The sequence below is a fragment of the Homo sapiens genome, chromosome 9, assembly GCF_000001405.40.
Source record: "Homo sapiens chromosome 9, GRCh38.p14 Primary Assembly".
In the NCBI taxonomy this organism is placed as follows: domain Eukaryota; kingdom Metazoa; phylum Chordata; class Mammalia; order Primates; family Hominidae; genus Homo; species Homo sapiens.
The window spans coordinates 13,876,642-13,893,089 of record NC_000009.12 but is presented as its reverse complement, the minus strand read 5'-3'; the positions used below and the strand labels follow the sequence as shown (position 1 = coordinate 13,893,089).

The 16,448-nt window shown below is 35.6% G+C and overlaps 1 long non-coding RNA gene across 2 annotated transcripts in view; it reads left to right on the top strand.

Annotated features, from left to right (window-relative positions):
* The window catches only part of LOC101929507 (uncharacterized), a 203,870-nt gene that overhangs the window by 127,003 nt on the left and 60,419 nt on the right, over positions 1-16,448 (top strand). For both annotated transcript variants that reach the window (XR_001746621.2, XR_001746620.2), the window contains one exon: positions 11,100-11,191. This is a non-coding gene — a long non-coding RNA (uncharacterized LOC101929507). The remainder of the gene's footprint in view (positions 1-11,099; positions 11,192-16,448) is intronic.

Below are 16,448 nucleotides of genomic sequence, written 5' to 3'. Positions count from 1 at the left end.
ATTCTCATATAATTCTCATTTTATATGTCACTAAAAATTGGAATCTCCTGACTCCATGTCATCATAAGAAAAAGAATGCGAACAAATTATTTTGTCTGAGTTTCTCTTTTAAAGCAAGGGATCTTAACCTGGAATTAGAAACTTCAGTGGCTCTATGAGTTCCATGAAATTATTGCCAAAACTTTGGGTGCATATGCAAATTTTCTGGGGAAATAAATCATAGTTTTTATCGTATTCCTTTTTTTCTTTTCTTTTTCTTTTTTTTTTTGGATGGAGTCTTGCTGTGTCTCCCAGGCTGGAGTGCAGTGGCACGATCTTGTCTTGTTGCAACCTGTCTCTCTTGGTTTCAAGCGATTCTCCTACCTCAGCCTCCTGAGTAGCTGGGATTACAGGCGTGTGCCACCACACTGGGCTAATTTTTGTATTTTTAGTAGAGATGGGGTTTCGCCATGTTGGCCAGGCTTGTCTCAAACTCCTGACCTCAGGTGATCTGCCCACCTTGGCCTCACAAAGTGCTAGGATTACAGGCATGAGCCACTGTGCCCAGCCAGTTTTTATCATATTCTTAAGGGACCCAACAACCTTTAAAATGTCACCTTTGAATTTATAAATCTCCAGATTCATAAAGCAAGTTCTTAGAGACCTTCAAAGAGATGTAAACTCACACAATAATAGTGGGAGGCTTCAAAACTCAACTGACAGTATTGGACAGATCAGAGAGGCAGAAAATTAACAAAGATATTCAGGACCTGAAATCAACACTGTACCAAATGAACCTAATAAATATCTACATAACTCTCCACCTGAAAACAAAAGAGTGTGCATTCTTTTCATCTGTACATGTCACATACACTAAGATCAACCACACAATCAGATATTAAGAAATCCTCAGAAAATGGAAAATAACTGAAATCATACCAACCACTCTCTTGGACCACAGCACAATAAAAATAGAACTCAAGACTAAGAAAATCACTCAAAACCATACAATTAAATAGAAATTAGAGAGCCTGCTCCTGAATGACTTTTAGGTAAATAATGAAATTAAGGCAGAAATCAAGAAATTCTTTGAAACTAATGAGAACAAAGATACAACATAACAAAATCTCTACACAGCTAAGGTAGTGTTAAGAGGAAAATTTATAGCAGTAAATACCCATATTAAAAAGTTAGAAAGATCTCAAATTAACAACCTAACATCATAAATAAAGAACTAGAGAACCAAGAGCAAACCAACCCCAAACCATTCATTTGAGGGCATGTACAAATAGAGGCCCCTAATTCCATTGGCATTCAAAAGAACCCAGTCAATGATAGTCTAGTTCAACTGCTCAGATTTAAATTTCAAGTCTGGGAGACTACTGAATTATTCCATCAACTTACATATTTTTGAAATATGGATCTTAGCTAATTGTTAAATCCCAGATTGCACTGAGAGGGTTTGTTATGAATTAGATATAATATGGGGTAGAGTTTCAACTAAAGTCTCTAGGGAAAGGAATCTAAATTTTGGTGAGAAGGAAATGTTGGAACTAGAACAAACCAAACGTGTCTTATGGATTGATGAGACAAACAATCAGTATTAATTTAAGAAGGACATTTGTGGGTCAGTGACTCTGTGCAGTCTCTTCTGGAGACACAGCCAAGAACTCTTCCTTTAAAAATGTAATACACTAGTAAGAAACTTTAGGGTATTAAAAGCTGTTAGGATGGGGTGGGGGAGACTTAGGGCAATAGCACATCAGCAAATGACAATGGAAATAATCTTTATATTTTTCAGCTTTCATATTTGGGCCTGTGGTCATCACTCTGACATTGACAAATGACAGAATTTGTACTTCATTCGGACAATTTTCACAGATATAGCACAGGTCTATGTCAGGCTTGTCTTACAGAAAATACTACTATGTGTTTTGAAAATGAGCTTTGTGAGCACCTACAAAATATATTTCTCCCTGAGTGGAAAGAAAGATGGCAACTCTGGTTCAATAGAAGGTGGATAACCTTTGAAATGAGAAAGCTTGGTTTGAATATCAACTTTATTGCTTAGAAGCAAGCTGGGTGAGGCTGGTAAAGAGGAATTCTGACTGAGCCTCAGTTGCTCCACCTGTAAATTAGGGATATTAATGTTTAATTCTGGGGTTGCTGAAAGGCTTAGAGGTTAATGCCTGACTTCATGAATAGCTCCACCTGTAAATTAGGGATATTAATGTTTAATTCTGGGGTTGCTGAAAGGCTTAGAGGTTAATGCCTGACTTCATGAATAGTAGGCAACTAATAAATGGTAACCGTTATTAATAATATAAAATTGATATAATTCATTTATATGATGTTAGGTAATAAAGTGATTCATATAGGTGAATTTTGAGGAATAGAAGCTTTCCTCTTGAAATGCTAAATTTTTAATTTTTAGCTGCCTAATAGAGGTGAGGTAGGATCTCATTGTCGTTTTTTAAAAATTTAATTATTTATTATTTATTTTTTTGTAGAAACAGGTCTTGCCATGTTGCCCAGGCTGGTCTCAAACTCCTGGGCTTAAGCAATTCTCCTGCCTCAGCCTCCCAGAGTGCTGGAATTATAGGCATGAACCACTGCACCCAGCCTTCAGTATAGTTTTGTTTTTTCATTGCCCTAATGATTAGTGATGTTAAGCATCATTTTATGTGCTATTTCCATTTGTATTTATTCTTTAGAGAAATATCTATTTAGATCCTTTGTCTATTTTGAATCAAGTTGTTTCTATGTTGTTTTAGGAGTTCTATATATATTCTGAATATTAATTCCTTTTATGAGATATATCATTTCCAAATATTTTATCTGATTCTGCAGGTTGTCTTTTTACTCTTGATTATTGCTTTTTGATGTACAAATTTTAAAAATTTTTATAAAATTCAAGTTGTCTATTTTTTTCTTTGGTTTCCTGTGCTGTTGGTGTCATATCCAATAAATTATTGCCAAATCTAATGTTATGAAGCTTTGACTCTATATTTCCTTCTAAAAGTTTTATAGTTTTATATCTTATATTTAGGTTTTTAATCTTTTTTGAGTTAATTTTTTTTATAGTGTTAGGTAAGGGTCCAACTTCATTCTTTTGCATGTGGATATCCAGTTTTCCCAGTACTGTTTGTTGAAAAGACTGTCCTTTCTCCATTTAATGGTCTTAACACTCTTGTCAAAATCATTTGACCATATATTCTAGTTCAATGGTTTATATGTCTGTCTTTATGCCAATGCCACGTTGTTTTGATTACTGTAGTTTTGTAATAAGTTTTGAAATCAGGAAGTGCGTGTCTTCTAGCTTTGTTCTGTTTTTTCAAGATTATTATGACTATTTGGGGTTTTTTGAGATTCCATATGAATTTTAGGATGGGTTTTTCTGTTTCTGCAAAATACATCATTGGGATTTTTTTTTTTATACTATAAGTTCTAGGGTACATGGGCACAATGTGCAAGTTTGTTACATATGTATACATGTGCCATGTTGGTGTGCTGCACCCATTAACTCGTCATTTACATTAGGTATATCTCCTAATGCTATCCCTCCCCTAGCCCCCCACCCCACAACAGTCCCCGATGTGTGATGTTCCCCACCCTGTGTCCAAGTGTTCTCATTGTTCACTTCCCATCTGTGAGTGAGAATATGCGGTGTTTGGTTTTCTGTCCTTGTGATAGTTTGCTTAGAATGTTGGTTTCCAGCTTCATCCATGTCCCTACAAAGGACATGAACTCATCCTTTTTTATGGCTGCATAGTATTCCATGCTGTATATGTGCCACATTTTCTTAATCCAGTCTATCGTTGATGGACATTTGGGTTGGTTCCAAGTCTTTGATATTGTGAATAGTGCCACAATGAGCATATGTGTGCATGTGTCTTTATAGCAGCATGATTTATAATCCTTTGGGTATATACCCAGTAATGGGATGGCTGGGTCAAATGGTATTTCTAGTTCTAGATCCTTGAGGAATCGCTACACTGTCTTCCACAATAGTTGAACTAGTTTACAGTCCCACCAACAGTGTAAAAGTGTTCCTATTTCTCCACATCCTCTCCAGCATCTGTTGTTTCCTGACTTTTTAATGATCGCCATTCTAACTGGTGTGAGATGGTATCTCATCATGGTTTTGATTTGCATTTCTTTGGTGGCCAGTGATGATGGGCATTTTTTCATGTATCTGTTGGCTGCATAAATGTCTTCTTTTGAGAAGTGTCTGTTCATATCCTTTGCCCACTTTTTGATGGGGTTGTTTGATTTTTTTCTTGTAAATTTGTTTAAGTTCTTTATAGATTCTGGATATTAGCCCTTTGTCAGATGGGTAGATTGCAAAAATTTCATCACTGGGATTTTAATGGGGATTGCATTGAATCTGTACATTGCTTTGTGTATTATGGACATCTTAACCTATTGTGTCTTCTAATTCATGGACATAGGCTATATTTCCATTTATTTATATCTTTTTAAATTTCTTTCAACAGTATCTTGTAGTTTTCATTGTAGAAGTCTCTCATTTTCTTAGCTAAGTAATTTCCTGAGTATTTTTTGATGCTATTGTAAATGGAATTTAAAAAAAAAATTTCCTTTTCAAATTGTTCATTGTTGATGTATAGAAAAGCAACTAATTTGTGAGTATTGACTTTGTATCCTGCTACTTTGCTGAATTCATTTAATAGTTCTGACAGTTCTTTTGTGTGTGAAATGTTGAGGGTTTCTATATAAGATCATATCGTCTGCAAATAGAGGTAGTTTTACTCGTTTCTTTCCAATTTGAATATCTTTTATTTCTTTTGCTTTTTATTTCTTATCTAATTGTTGTGGCTAAAATTTCCAGTACTATGTTGAATAGAAAAGGCAAATGTGAGTATCTTTGTCTTGTTCCTGATCTTAGAGAAAAAGTGCTTAGTCTTTTACCATTGAGTAAGATGTTCCCTGTGAATTCTCCATATATGGCTTTTATTATGTTGAAATAGTTCTTTCTATTTCTAGCTTGAGTGGTTTTTTTTTTTTTAATCATGAAATGGGGTTGAACTTTGTCAAATACTTTTTCTGCATCTATTCAGATGATCATATGTTTTTTCTCTCTAATTCTGTTAATGTAGTAGGTTACATTTATTTTCATATATGGAACCATTTTTATTTCAGGCATAAATCCCACTTGGACATGGTGTATAATCTTTTAATATGCTGCTGAATTTGGTTTACCAGTCTTTCGGTAAAGATTTTTTCATCAATATTCATAAAGGATATTCATCAGTAGTTTTCTTTTTTGTAGTGTTTTTTGCTTTGGTATCAGGGTAGAATGAGTCAAGAAGTGTTCCATTCTCTTCATTTTTTTGGGAACATTTTGAGAATAATTTGTGTTTGTTCTTCTTTAAATATTTGGTACAATTCATCAGTAAAGCCATTAGATCCAGGGCTTTACTTATTGGAGATTATTGGTTACTAATTCTATCTCCTTCCTAGTTATAGTTATAAGACTATTCAGATTTTTTATTTTTTGTGATTTAGTCTTGGTAGGTTTTGTGTTTCTAGGAAATTGTCCATTTTGTCTGGGTCATCCAATTTATAGGCACACAGTTGTTCATAATACTGTCTTAATGGTCCTTTTTATTGCTATAGAATCACTAGTAATGTCTTCACTTTGCCTCTGATCTTAGTAGTTACAGCCTTTTCTCTTTTTTTCTTAGTCTATCTAGCTAAAGGTTTATCAATTTTGTTGATCTTTTCAAAGAACCAAAGTTTGATTTTATTGATTCTTTTATACCTTATTTTTCTATTATCTATTTCACTGATCTCTGCTGTGATCCTTACTATCTCCTTCTTCTGCTAGCTTTAGGTTTAGTGTTTTCTTTTTCTACTTCCATAAGTTATAAAGTTATGCTATTGATTTGAAATCTTGGTTTTTTAATGTAAGCATTTGTAGCTACACATTTCCTCCTTAGTGTAAACTTCATTGCATCTCATGAGTTTTGGTATGTGTGCTTTCAGTTTCATTTGTCTCTAAGTATTTTGTAACTTTCCTTATGATTTCTTATTTGATTCATTGGTTCTTTAAGACTGTGTCATTTAATTTCCACAAGTTTTTGAAATTTCCAATTTTCTTTCTATTATCGATTTCCAACTTTATACTGTTGGGGTCAGAGAAGATATTTTGTATATTTATCTTTTTAAATTTATTGAGACAAGTTCTGGCCTAAGATGTGATTTATACAGGAAAACATACTATGTGCACTTGAGAAGAATGTTGTTGAGTAGAGTGTTCCTGCACATAATTTTAGATCTAGCTGATTTATTGTGTTCTTTAAATCCTCTATTCCTTATCTTCTGATTGTTTATCCCTTATTGAGAGAAAGGTATTGAAATTTTCAAGTATTATAGTAGAAGCATCTATTTTTCCCTGTAGTTCTGTCAGGTTTTGCTTCATATATTTTGATGGTCTGCTGCTAGAAGTGTAAATGTTGATGGTATCTTTGTGCTGTATTGAAACTTTTGTTAATATATAATATCTTTTTTGTCTCTTATAAACTTTTTTGATTTAGAGTCTATTTTGTCTGATATGAGAGCATAGCCACTACTGCTATCTCTTGGTTACTTTCTCCATTCAATATATTTTTCCACCCTTTCACTTTTAATCTATGTATGCCTTTGGATCCTAAGTGATTTTCCTGTAGGTAGCGTATAGTTGGATAATATGTTTTTATTTATTCTTCCAATCTGTCTTTTGATTGGATAGTTTAATCCATTTACACTTCAGTTAATATCTGGTATAAACGGACCTCTGCCATTTTGTTGTTTGCTTTCTAGATGGCTTATAGCCTTTTTGTCCATCACTTCCCACATTAATGTCTTCTTTTATGTTTAGTTATTTTTTATAGTGAAATGTTTAAATTCCTTTTTTATTCCTTTTGTATGTATTTTATTGGTATTGTCTTTGTGGTTACCATGGAGATTACATTTAACATCCTAAAGTTACAGCACTCTAATTTGATTCTATACCAGCTTAACCTCAATAACATATGATGATCCTTTAATAGCTCCATTTATCCATTTCAGTTGTGTGCACAAAATTATATGTGCACACATGTATGTACAAAATTATATGTGCATACATTGTGTGCCCTAAAATATAAGCTAATAATGCTTTTAAATGTACTATTCTCTTCAGCCATGTGTAAAACAAAATTTGCAGTTAGAATCCAAGGTTATAATAATACTAGCTCATGAGCCTCTTAAATCATATAAAAAAGTGAAATTATAAGTCATTAAGATAATAATAGCTTTTATAATTGTCCATGTATTTCCCTTTACTGATACCTTATTTCTTCATATGGCTTTGAATCACTGTCTTGATCCTTTTCATTTTACCCTACAGAACTCCCTTGAGTATTTCTTGCAGTGCAGGTTTAATGGTAATGGACTCTCTTAGCTTTGCTTGTCTAAGAATGTCTTAATTTTCCCCTCACTTTTAATAAGAGTTTTGCTGGTATAGAATTTTTTGTTGATTTTTGTTGTTTATTTTGTTTTGTTTTGCTTTTAGGACTTTAAATATATTGGCTCACTGCCTTCTGGTCTCCAAAATTTCAGATGAGAAATTTGATGATAATCTTACTGAGTATCCCTTGTACGTGGAGAGTTGTTTCTTTCTTGTCACTTTCAAGATGCTCCCTTTGCCTTTGGATTTTGAAAGTTTAATTATATTGTGTCTCATTGTGAGTATCTTTGAGTTCATCTTACTTGGAGATTGTTGAGCTTCTTGGATGTTTATATTGATGTCTTTTATCAAATTTGAGACATTTTCAGTCATCATTTCTACAAATATTCTCTCTTCTCCTTTCTCTCTCTCATTTTCTTGTGGGACTCCCACAATGCATATGTTAGTCTACTTCATTGTGTCCCACAGGCTCTTAAGGCTCTGGTCACTTCAATCTTTTTCTTTCTGTTCCTCACACCTGATAATTTCAATTGTCTTGTCTTGTTGATTTGTTTATTCTTTCTTCTGCTTACTCTAATCTGCCCTTGAATTCATCTAATAAGTTTTTCATTTCAGTTATGGTGCTTTTCAGCTCCAGAACTTCTTTTTGGTTTCTTTTTAGGTTTTATCTTTATTGCTATTTCCATTTTGTTGACACATCATTTTCTTAACATCCTCCATGTTTTCCTATAGTTCTTTGAGCATCTTTAATCTAGCAGAATTTCTGCAGGTCTTTCTTATGGACACTTTCTGTTTATTTAGTTTTTGTCCCTTTGAATGGGTTATACTTGTCTATTTGTGTGCTTCTAATTGTTTTTGTTGAAAACTGGATATTTGAATCTAATAATGAAGTAATTCTGCAAATCAGATTCTCCTTACCCAGAGTATGATTTTTTTTTTTTTTTGGTTTTATTTTTATTGTTGTAGTCTGCCTCTGTGCCAAAGATTAGTCTAAGGTATAAACCTAAGGTTTCCTCAGCTCTTTTCTGACCCTGTGCGTTTCCCTAGTCATGCATGATCACTTCTTAATTTTCCCCGTATATGCAGTTGCTTTTGAATGTCCTAGGATTCAGTGTCTGGCTTTCAAATGAGAAAAAGAAAAATGAAGCAGGGAAACAAAAGAGGGGCACTTTCCCTTTAAATTATTTGGAGTCACTTCACCCAAAAAGAGTGGGGCTTGCAATAAGGGATTGTGGGGAGGTGAAACAACAATGACCTCCCTCCCCTTTATCTACACTTCTGTGATCGAAAGCAGTAGCAGCAATGACAGCACAAATCCTTACTAGTTGGAAGATAGAGTTTTTTGCCCACCCTGGATTCCTTAAGGTGTATACAAGTTGCTCTAGGATCACATGCACAGTTGCCTGTTACAGGGCTGGTGGTGAGAGTGGGGAGCTGCTGTGCTAAAAGCTGAATTGATCTGTCACTAAGCAACTTATTATCAAAGCCTTCCTGTAAAAGCTGCAAGACTCCAGAGTTCCAAAATAATTACATTAGACAGATTCTGCCAGTGTAATTGTTGTCTATGTGGGGAGACAGATTCCTGGCGTTTCCTGCTCCTTCTTCCCAGAATCCTCTCCAGACTGGCTACTTTTGAGAGGATGTTAGCTTCAGTTTTAAATTATCATTCTCATAGGAAAGAATCATGCGGAACTTTAGTTTTAAAAAGTGAATGTATGTAGTAGAGAAACAGACAGATTGGGTATGTTACTTCTGTTGATGAGGCTGTTTAAGGGTGGTCTCTCCTGGGTAATTAGACTGGCTTTCTGCTCAACTCCACAGTTTGCTGATGCATCCTCTGTAATCCATTGCACACTGCGGTTCCCCCATGAAGAGCTAGAGCAAACCTATTATATTACATCTGAGTGTATTCTGATACACTGATGCTCAAATTCTGTTTCAACATTTTGGGGTTCCATGGGAGTGATCTAGGGGCATGTAATTAGTAAGAAAGTGGCCAAGAAGTCAGAACTAGCCCTGTTTTTATTTCAGTAAGAGTATCTAAAGTAGTATCTGTTTAAATATCAGGATTTTATATGAGATTCCATTTGAAAAGAAGGGGTTCTTGGCTTAATAACATCTGAGAAGTTAAATGGAAAATGCTTTATTGAGTAAATGTTTGGTCTGGAGAAGATGGGAAAATGACCACAGTAAAATCTGAAACTACTAACGACATTCACCATCTGTCCTCCTCCATCATTTCTACTAACTAAATGAGCTCAAATACTAACCCCTGAAGAAACCACCTCCAATCATTCCCACACACAAGAATTTTCTTTGCTTCTTTTTCTGATCACTTATCTCCATCATTACATCAGACGGGCTAGGCTGATGGCTATGTCAAACAACCCCAAGTCTCAGTGGCTTATCGCATTATAAAGATGACTTCTTTTTTAGGCAAGCTTCAGAACCAATATTCTTGGGCAGGTGGCTCTGTTGGCTGCCCTCCTCAATGAGGAGCTTGGATCCTTCCACCATGGTATCCCATAGGCCCACTCAGAGGCCTCTGATGGAGATTCTGCAGTCAATAGAACAAGGAGTGACAATATGAGGATTTCACTGGGCATTTGAAGAGCCAGGCTTAGAACTGACATATACGACTTTCTTCCACATCCTGTTGGCCATCATTAGACATACTGTCCCATGCAGATACAAAGAGAAATAGGAAGTGTAGAATTATTTGGTGACCAACAGGAAAATGAAATTATTTGTTCAACACATATAATGATCTTTTCCAATGCCATTAGCTCACCCTTGTCCACATACTGTCTTGGGGTACAATTTCCTGTGTGTTCACCTTAAATCTTCAACTAGATTGCACGCTCCTAAAGGTAGAAGTTATGCTTTATATGGTACTACTTGCAATGCTTAAATTGCCCAGGTATATTAGTTAAGGTAGTTTAAACTACTGTAAAAACAAACTCAATGGTAATTTAATACCTTAAAGAACATAGGCTTTTTTGGCCTCAAAATAGCCTTGGGAAGATGTTACAGTTCAGCAGCAGCTCTCATCACTATGCCATTTTCCTGGGGCATATGCTAATGCAGTTTTATTATCCTCGGCGTTGCTTTTGGGATGGCCATTCCAGCCAGCAGAAAGAATGAAATGATATAGAGAATGTGTGTGCAAGATTCAATAGATCAAGCTGGGAAGAAGCACATACCATTTTCATTCACATTCCACTGTCAAGAACTCAATGACATGGCCACACTACACTATAAGAGGTAGGAGGATTGAACATGTAGTTTTTAGCTGGATAGCTACACTCCAATTACAACTCAGTTGCTATGGAAGAAAAGGATAATGAATGTTGGTGAAAAATTTCAACTTTCCCCACAGAGGATAAGGGAAATTTTGTTCAATTCTAACAATCCTTCAAATTAGGTATTGTCATTTCCTATTTTTGAGGTTAGAAGTGATATTGAGAAGTGAACTAATATGTTCAATGAGACACAACTAATAGGTATTAACGGGGGGATTTGCACCTAGTTCTTACTCCAAAATTCACTTATTGTCTTCTATACTACCCTGTGTCTTGCCTATCGGAGTGATGCCTTATCATTGTTTCATCTCATTTTCTGTCTTAATTCTTCTTAACCCTTTTCTTTCTGCTTCCCTTGTCATTTTCAGGTGTAGTGATGTACAAAAAATGATTCCTGTTGGACATTCAACACGATACTCCAATGTACTTTGAACACGTCATGTTCTGTGAAGGTAAAAATGTAAGTCACACCAGACTCTTTCTTCAATTTTGACACATTCTATTTTTATTTTGTCATAGTCAACTGGCTATGACATATTTCTCATTATGGTTGGCAAGAATGGTGAATATGTATCTACTAAATACTGATTTCTCTGGAATAAGTGGTAGAAGGACAGAATACTCAGTTCTTGCCCACACTGAGAAATGTGAAATTCACAGAGGACAGTGGGTACTTAGGGAATGCTAAGGAGGGAATGTCAAGGAAGCATATTCTTGATTATGCTGTTTGCCCGTGATGGTGTTTGTTGTTGTTTGTTTGTTTGCTTTAAATTCTCTTAGAGGTTTTTCTTCCTCTGGGTTTCATTCTGCCATGAAGCTGCTATGGACAGTGCTATCATAAGTCATAACACAATACCCCATGGGGAATAGGGATTAATTAAGCAATGTTGCGCATAGTTTATAAGCCCAGGGTTCCAGTTCGCCAAAGACTTGGTATTTTATTTTATTTTATTTATTTATTTTTATTATACTTTAAGTTCTGGGTTACATGTGTAGAACGTGCAGTTTTGTTACATAGGTAAACACATGCCATGGTGGTTTGCTGCACCCATCAACCCATCACCTACATTAGGTATTTCTGTTAATGTTATACTTCTCCTAGCCCCCTACACCCGAACAGGCCCCGGTGTATGATGTTCCCCTTCCTGTGTCCAAGTGTTCTCATTGTTCAATTCCCACCTATGAGTGAGAACATGTGGTGTTTGGTTTTCTGTCCTTGTGATAGTTTGCTCAGAACGATGGTTTCCAGCTTCATCCATGTCCCTACAAAGGACATGAACGCATCCTTTTTTATGGCTGCATAGTATTCCATGCTGTATATGTGCCACATTTTCTTAACCCAGTCTATCATTGATGGACATTTGGGTTGGTTCCAAGTCTTTGCTATTGTGAGTAGTGCTGCAGTAAACATATGTGTGCACGTGACTTTATGGTAGAATGATTTATAATCCTTTGGGTAGATGTCCAGTAATGGGATTGCTGGGTCGAAAGACTTGGTATTTTATAGATGGTACTAATAAGAAAGCAAAGAGGGGCAAGGGTGAGTCTCTCAATCTCTCCCTCTCTCTTTAACGAGCACGTGCACATACACACATTCATTTGTACAAACACACTTTCCAAGTCACTGTTTTCAGGAGTCTAAACACATATAAAAATAACCTTGATTCAGAGACAGTTCTGTCATTTACTAGCTGTAAGTGATTGGTTCACTCAACTTTTCAAAGCCTCAGTGTTCTCATTCATAAAGGGGGATACCATTTGCACTTACTTCATAGAGTAGTTTTGATAATGTTTTGGTAATTTATGTAAATTGCTTAATACATTTTAACTGCATTGTTTTTGTCTATTAAGTCCAAAATGTCTAAAATCTTCTCCAACCTATACCATTTCAGACTAGTGAAAAGCTGCATAGGCTTTTTTTTTTAATGTCCACAGATATGAGAGGAAAGAACAAGATATAAAACTACTAGTTTTGCATATTTGTTTTTAACATTATAATTTTAGGGTCACCATATTCCTTGATTCAAGCCACATTTAGCCTGAATTCATCAGAATATAACTGTAACAGTTGTCCATCTTTTGTTCCTGGAGTTAGCCAATTAGACAATATTGCATGCATAATTGTCTGGTAATGCAGTGGTTTTGTGAAATTCCACAATCTTGAAATAATATTGCGAATGTTTTGATTCTGAGTGGAATAAGAAGAGGGGCCCATAGGCTTCCCATGGAGGAGGGCTTTGTTGGAACCCAGATACCACCATTAATTAGGCAGAATGTAGGAGAAAGGTGCCAAAACCCCCACATAATCTTAGAAATTTACCATATGTAAATTCTTATGTCTGTTGGAAATAATAGAGATTTATTCTGTTGAGATCAAATTTCCTCTAATGCAATGTTGTACACTGTTGGAGAAGATTGGTAGGCTTTACAATTCATAGCAGTGTTCTTCTTTCTAGAAGGCTGAAGGGTGTTGACAATAGAAAGGTTTTTATGGTGGTTAATGTTCTTCATGAAAAAATTGGATCCTTAAGCCTTCCTCTAAAGGCTGGAAATCTTTACCAAAACCTCTCTTAGGAAAGCTGATAGAAGTTTTTCTTAAGGTCCACACAGAAACCTAGATTTTAAAGTCAGATCTAAGATCCAGTTTCAACTAAAATATATTGGGACCCTTCTATCTGCTGAGTCTTTTCTTAGGAGCTAGTAGATCCTTCATGTTATTGCCTTCACTAATTATGTCTTCTAATCAGATGGCTCTACTGATGTATCATTTACTTTGCAAATTGAATCATACCACCCTTTTCCTTTGATTACCTATTATAAACCATCCTTTATGTACCTATCTGAAAAATCACAAGTTATTTTGTTGATCCAGACCTCATAAAGGAAAAATCAACTCATCAGTGTTTGAAGACCATTTCAGGCAGCACAGTTCACTGGTTTCCTGTGAACTTCAGGCCACTTCAGGGCTTGTGTGCTGAGGTTCTTAGATCTGACTTTCAGGGGAGCTGATACCCCAAGACTAGAAGCATTTGTGAAATAGAAGGAATGAACAATAAAGGAGAATATAAACTTGGCTTATTTTGTCTTTCTACATCATTTGAAATATCTTTTTAGCTACGTAAAAGGGAAAAAATTAAAGACAGCCAAGGATCCAACCTCTGATGTTATTTCATTAGAGAGGAAAGCATGGAGACTTCACCGCTCTACCAGTTTAGCAGAAATACTGGAAGTCTGTCGATCAACTGGAGGATTCTTTCTTGTCTTGGCTTGTTTTGGAGCTGGTACAAAAATTGATAGTCTTAGCCCTGTTTAATTTATGTAGCTTCAGAAAGAAAGGTTGTCAGGGCCCACACGATGAAGAAAGAGGAAGAAAAGCAAATGAGACTGGGGACAGGTCTAAACCTCCTCCAGCAGCACTGTCATCCTGCTTATCAGGTAAGAAGAAAAACAGATTAAAGCAAGTTCTTTGTTTCCAAATTCCAGGCTTGCAAAGGATGTATTATGATATTCATTTCAAAATATGGTTACATCTTGAAAGCATTTTTGTTAGAAAGGCATATTATCTTTAACAATGAAGCAAGGAAAAAAGCTTGGTGCATTACTGTAGACTCTTAAAATACCTTAGCAGATCTTACTTTATATATATCTTTTTACATTAGCATTCAAAAATCCTTGGCAGGAACAATAGGAATGGTTCAAAGTTCAATTCATAATCATAAACAGACTTTTCCTCCATTCCCCCCCCATCACGGTTTTAGTTTTTATGAGTGTATTTGGAAGGGGTGGAGAGAAGAGAAAGGGGTCACATTTAAACATTCCCCCCTACCTCTCTTCCTCAGGATGAGCTCTAATTTTATAATAGGATAGTTTTATTCAGAGTTAACTACTTTGGTTTTGGTTCTGAATGATAATCATAGAAAATATAAAGTAACATTTTAAAAGCTCAGACTGTGAAAGAAAGGAATAGTACAGCTTAGTAAAAGCATATGTTGCTAGTGGGACCTCACAACCACATTCAAATTACGTTCTTGCCAAATCACGTTATGTTTCTAAAGCTCCTTATTTAAATTTCCCAAGTGAGGTTCATATGGCATGTTCTGTGTTTTTGCTATACAGTATTGAAGGGAGGTCCTTAGAAATCTTTCCCCTTAAGAACCAACTTTTTCTTTTCTAACTAAAAGTCCAAATTAAACCTAGTTTACATTTATGGGATATAGGACTCCATGCCACCGACAACAACAGAAAAAAAAAAAACAAACAAAAAAACACATCTGCTCTTGGCACTGTTGGGGTTGTAATAATGGCCTATGGAGCAATGGAACAGCAGTGCCTACCATCAGAGTGCCTGCCAACATTTGCTGTGGCTATATGTAGAGGAGTTAGGTTCCATCATGATCAGCATTTGCAGGACCTTGAATTGCCATCTAATCAAGTCCCAGTCTCAGAGAAAGAATGCATTAAAATCACTCCAGGGCTATGTATTTTTTTCTTTAAAAAATTAAAAATACGAAGTCACTGCATTTCTGTGCTTTACAAAATCTGGAGTAAGGAATTCATCCTGAAGTTGAATGTCACCAGTTTATGTATATGTTTGCTCTCACATTTAAAGACAGTTTCTGTGTAGCCTTCTGTTCTGTTCAGAAAGCCTGATTCTTTTTGGTCTCTTTTAGGCTTGGTTTAATCATTATTTAGGATTGCAGCAGTTCTCCCTTGGTACTTCTGAGTTATTTACAACTTAATTATATCTATCACGACAATGAATAAAATAATTTCCCTCCTCTCCTCCCCATCATCTTAATACAGTTTGCCCATCTGAACTTAAAAGCAAACCATACTGGATGGTTGGCTTGAATTAAGCTTGGAATCATTATGACTTAGAGGTCTTTCTGAATCACTTTCTGAAATACAGAACACAGCCAGAGAGAAGGGTCCATATCATGGATCACACAAAATATTGTGTACGTAAAAGTAACCCTACAGAATGCATTACAGATATGGTTCTCTAAGGTCCTGATATTTATTTCTAATCTCCCCCTCCATCTTCTTTATGCCTCATCCCATGAATTTGGATTAAATAGAAAATAACCTTATATAAGGTAAAATAATAGCTTTGTTCTTTCCTAGAGAAATCTCTGTTCTTTGTTTAGCATAATGCTGTGGTTATGAGCACAGACTATCTAGACCAAATCCTGGCTCTCTGATTTTAGGCAATTTACTTAACTTTCCCATATCTCAGTTTTTTAATCTATAAAATGGGGACAGAAAGGATCGTTAACACCTAGGGTTGTTAAAAGGATTTAATGGATTATTATATTTCAAGCACTTAGTACTGTTCATGGCCATAGAAGGCTCTCTATTTTAATATCACTGTTGTTATTCAGCTGTGTTACTCTACAGAATGTCTGGCTTCTTTTACTATCTGCACAGCCTGACATTATCTCTCTGCCTCTAATGCAAGTCCTCTGTGTTCTGCCTTTTTGTTCTGGCCAAAAGAGAGTCCTGTCCCATGTTACAGCAATGAAAAGGGATGTATACTTCTGTATTTGGTTCTTTTTCTTGGGAAGAGTGATGTCCTGATTTGGGGTGGACAGGTTTGAAGATGAACTCTTTCTTCCTAATGTTGAGAGACACGAAGGCTGTTTTTCTTCCTGTAAATTACTAATAAGCACTTTTTCCAGTAATTCTAGACATACCACCTTCCACTGAGGTGGGCTATA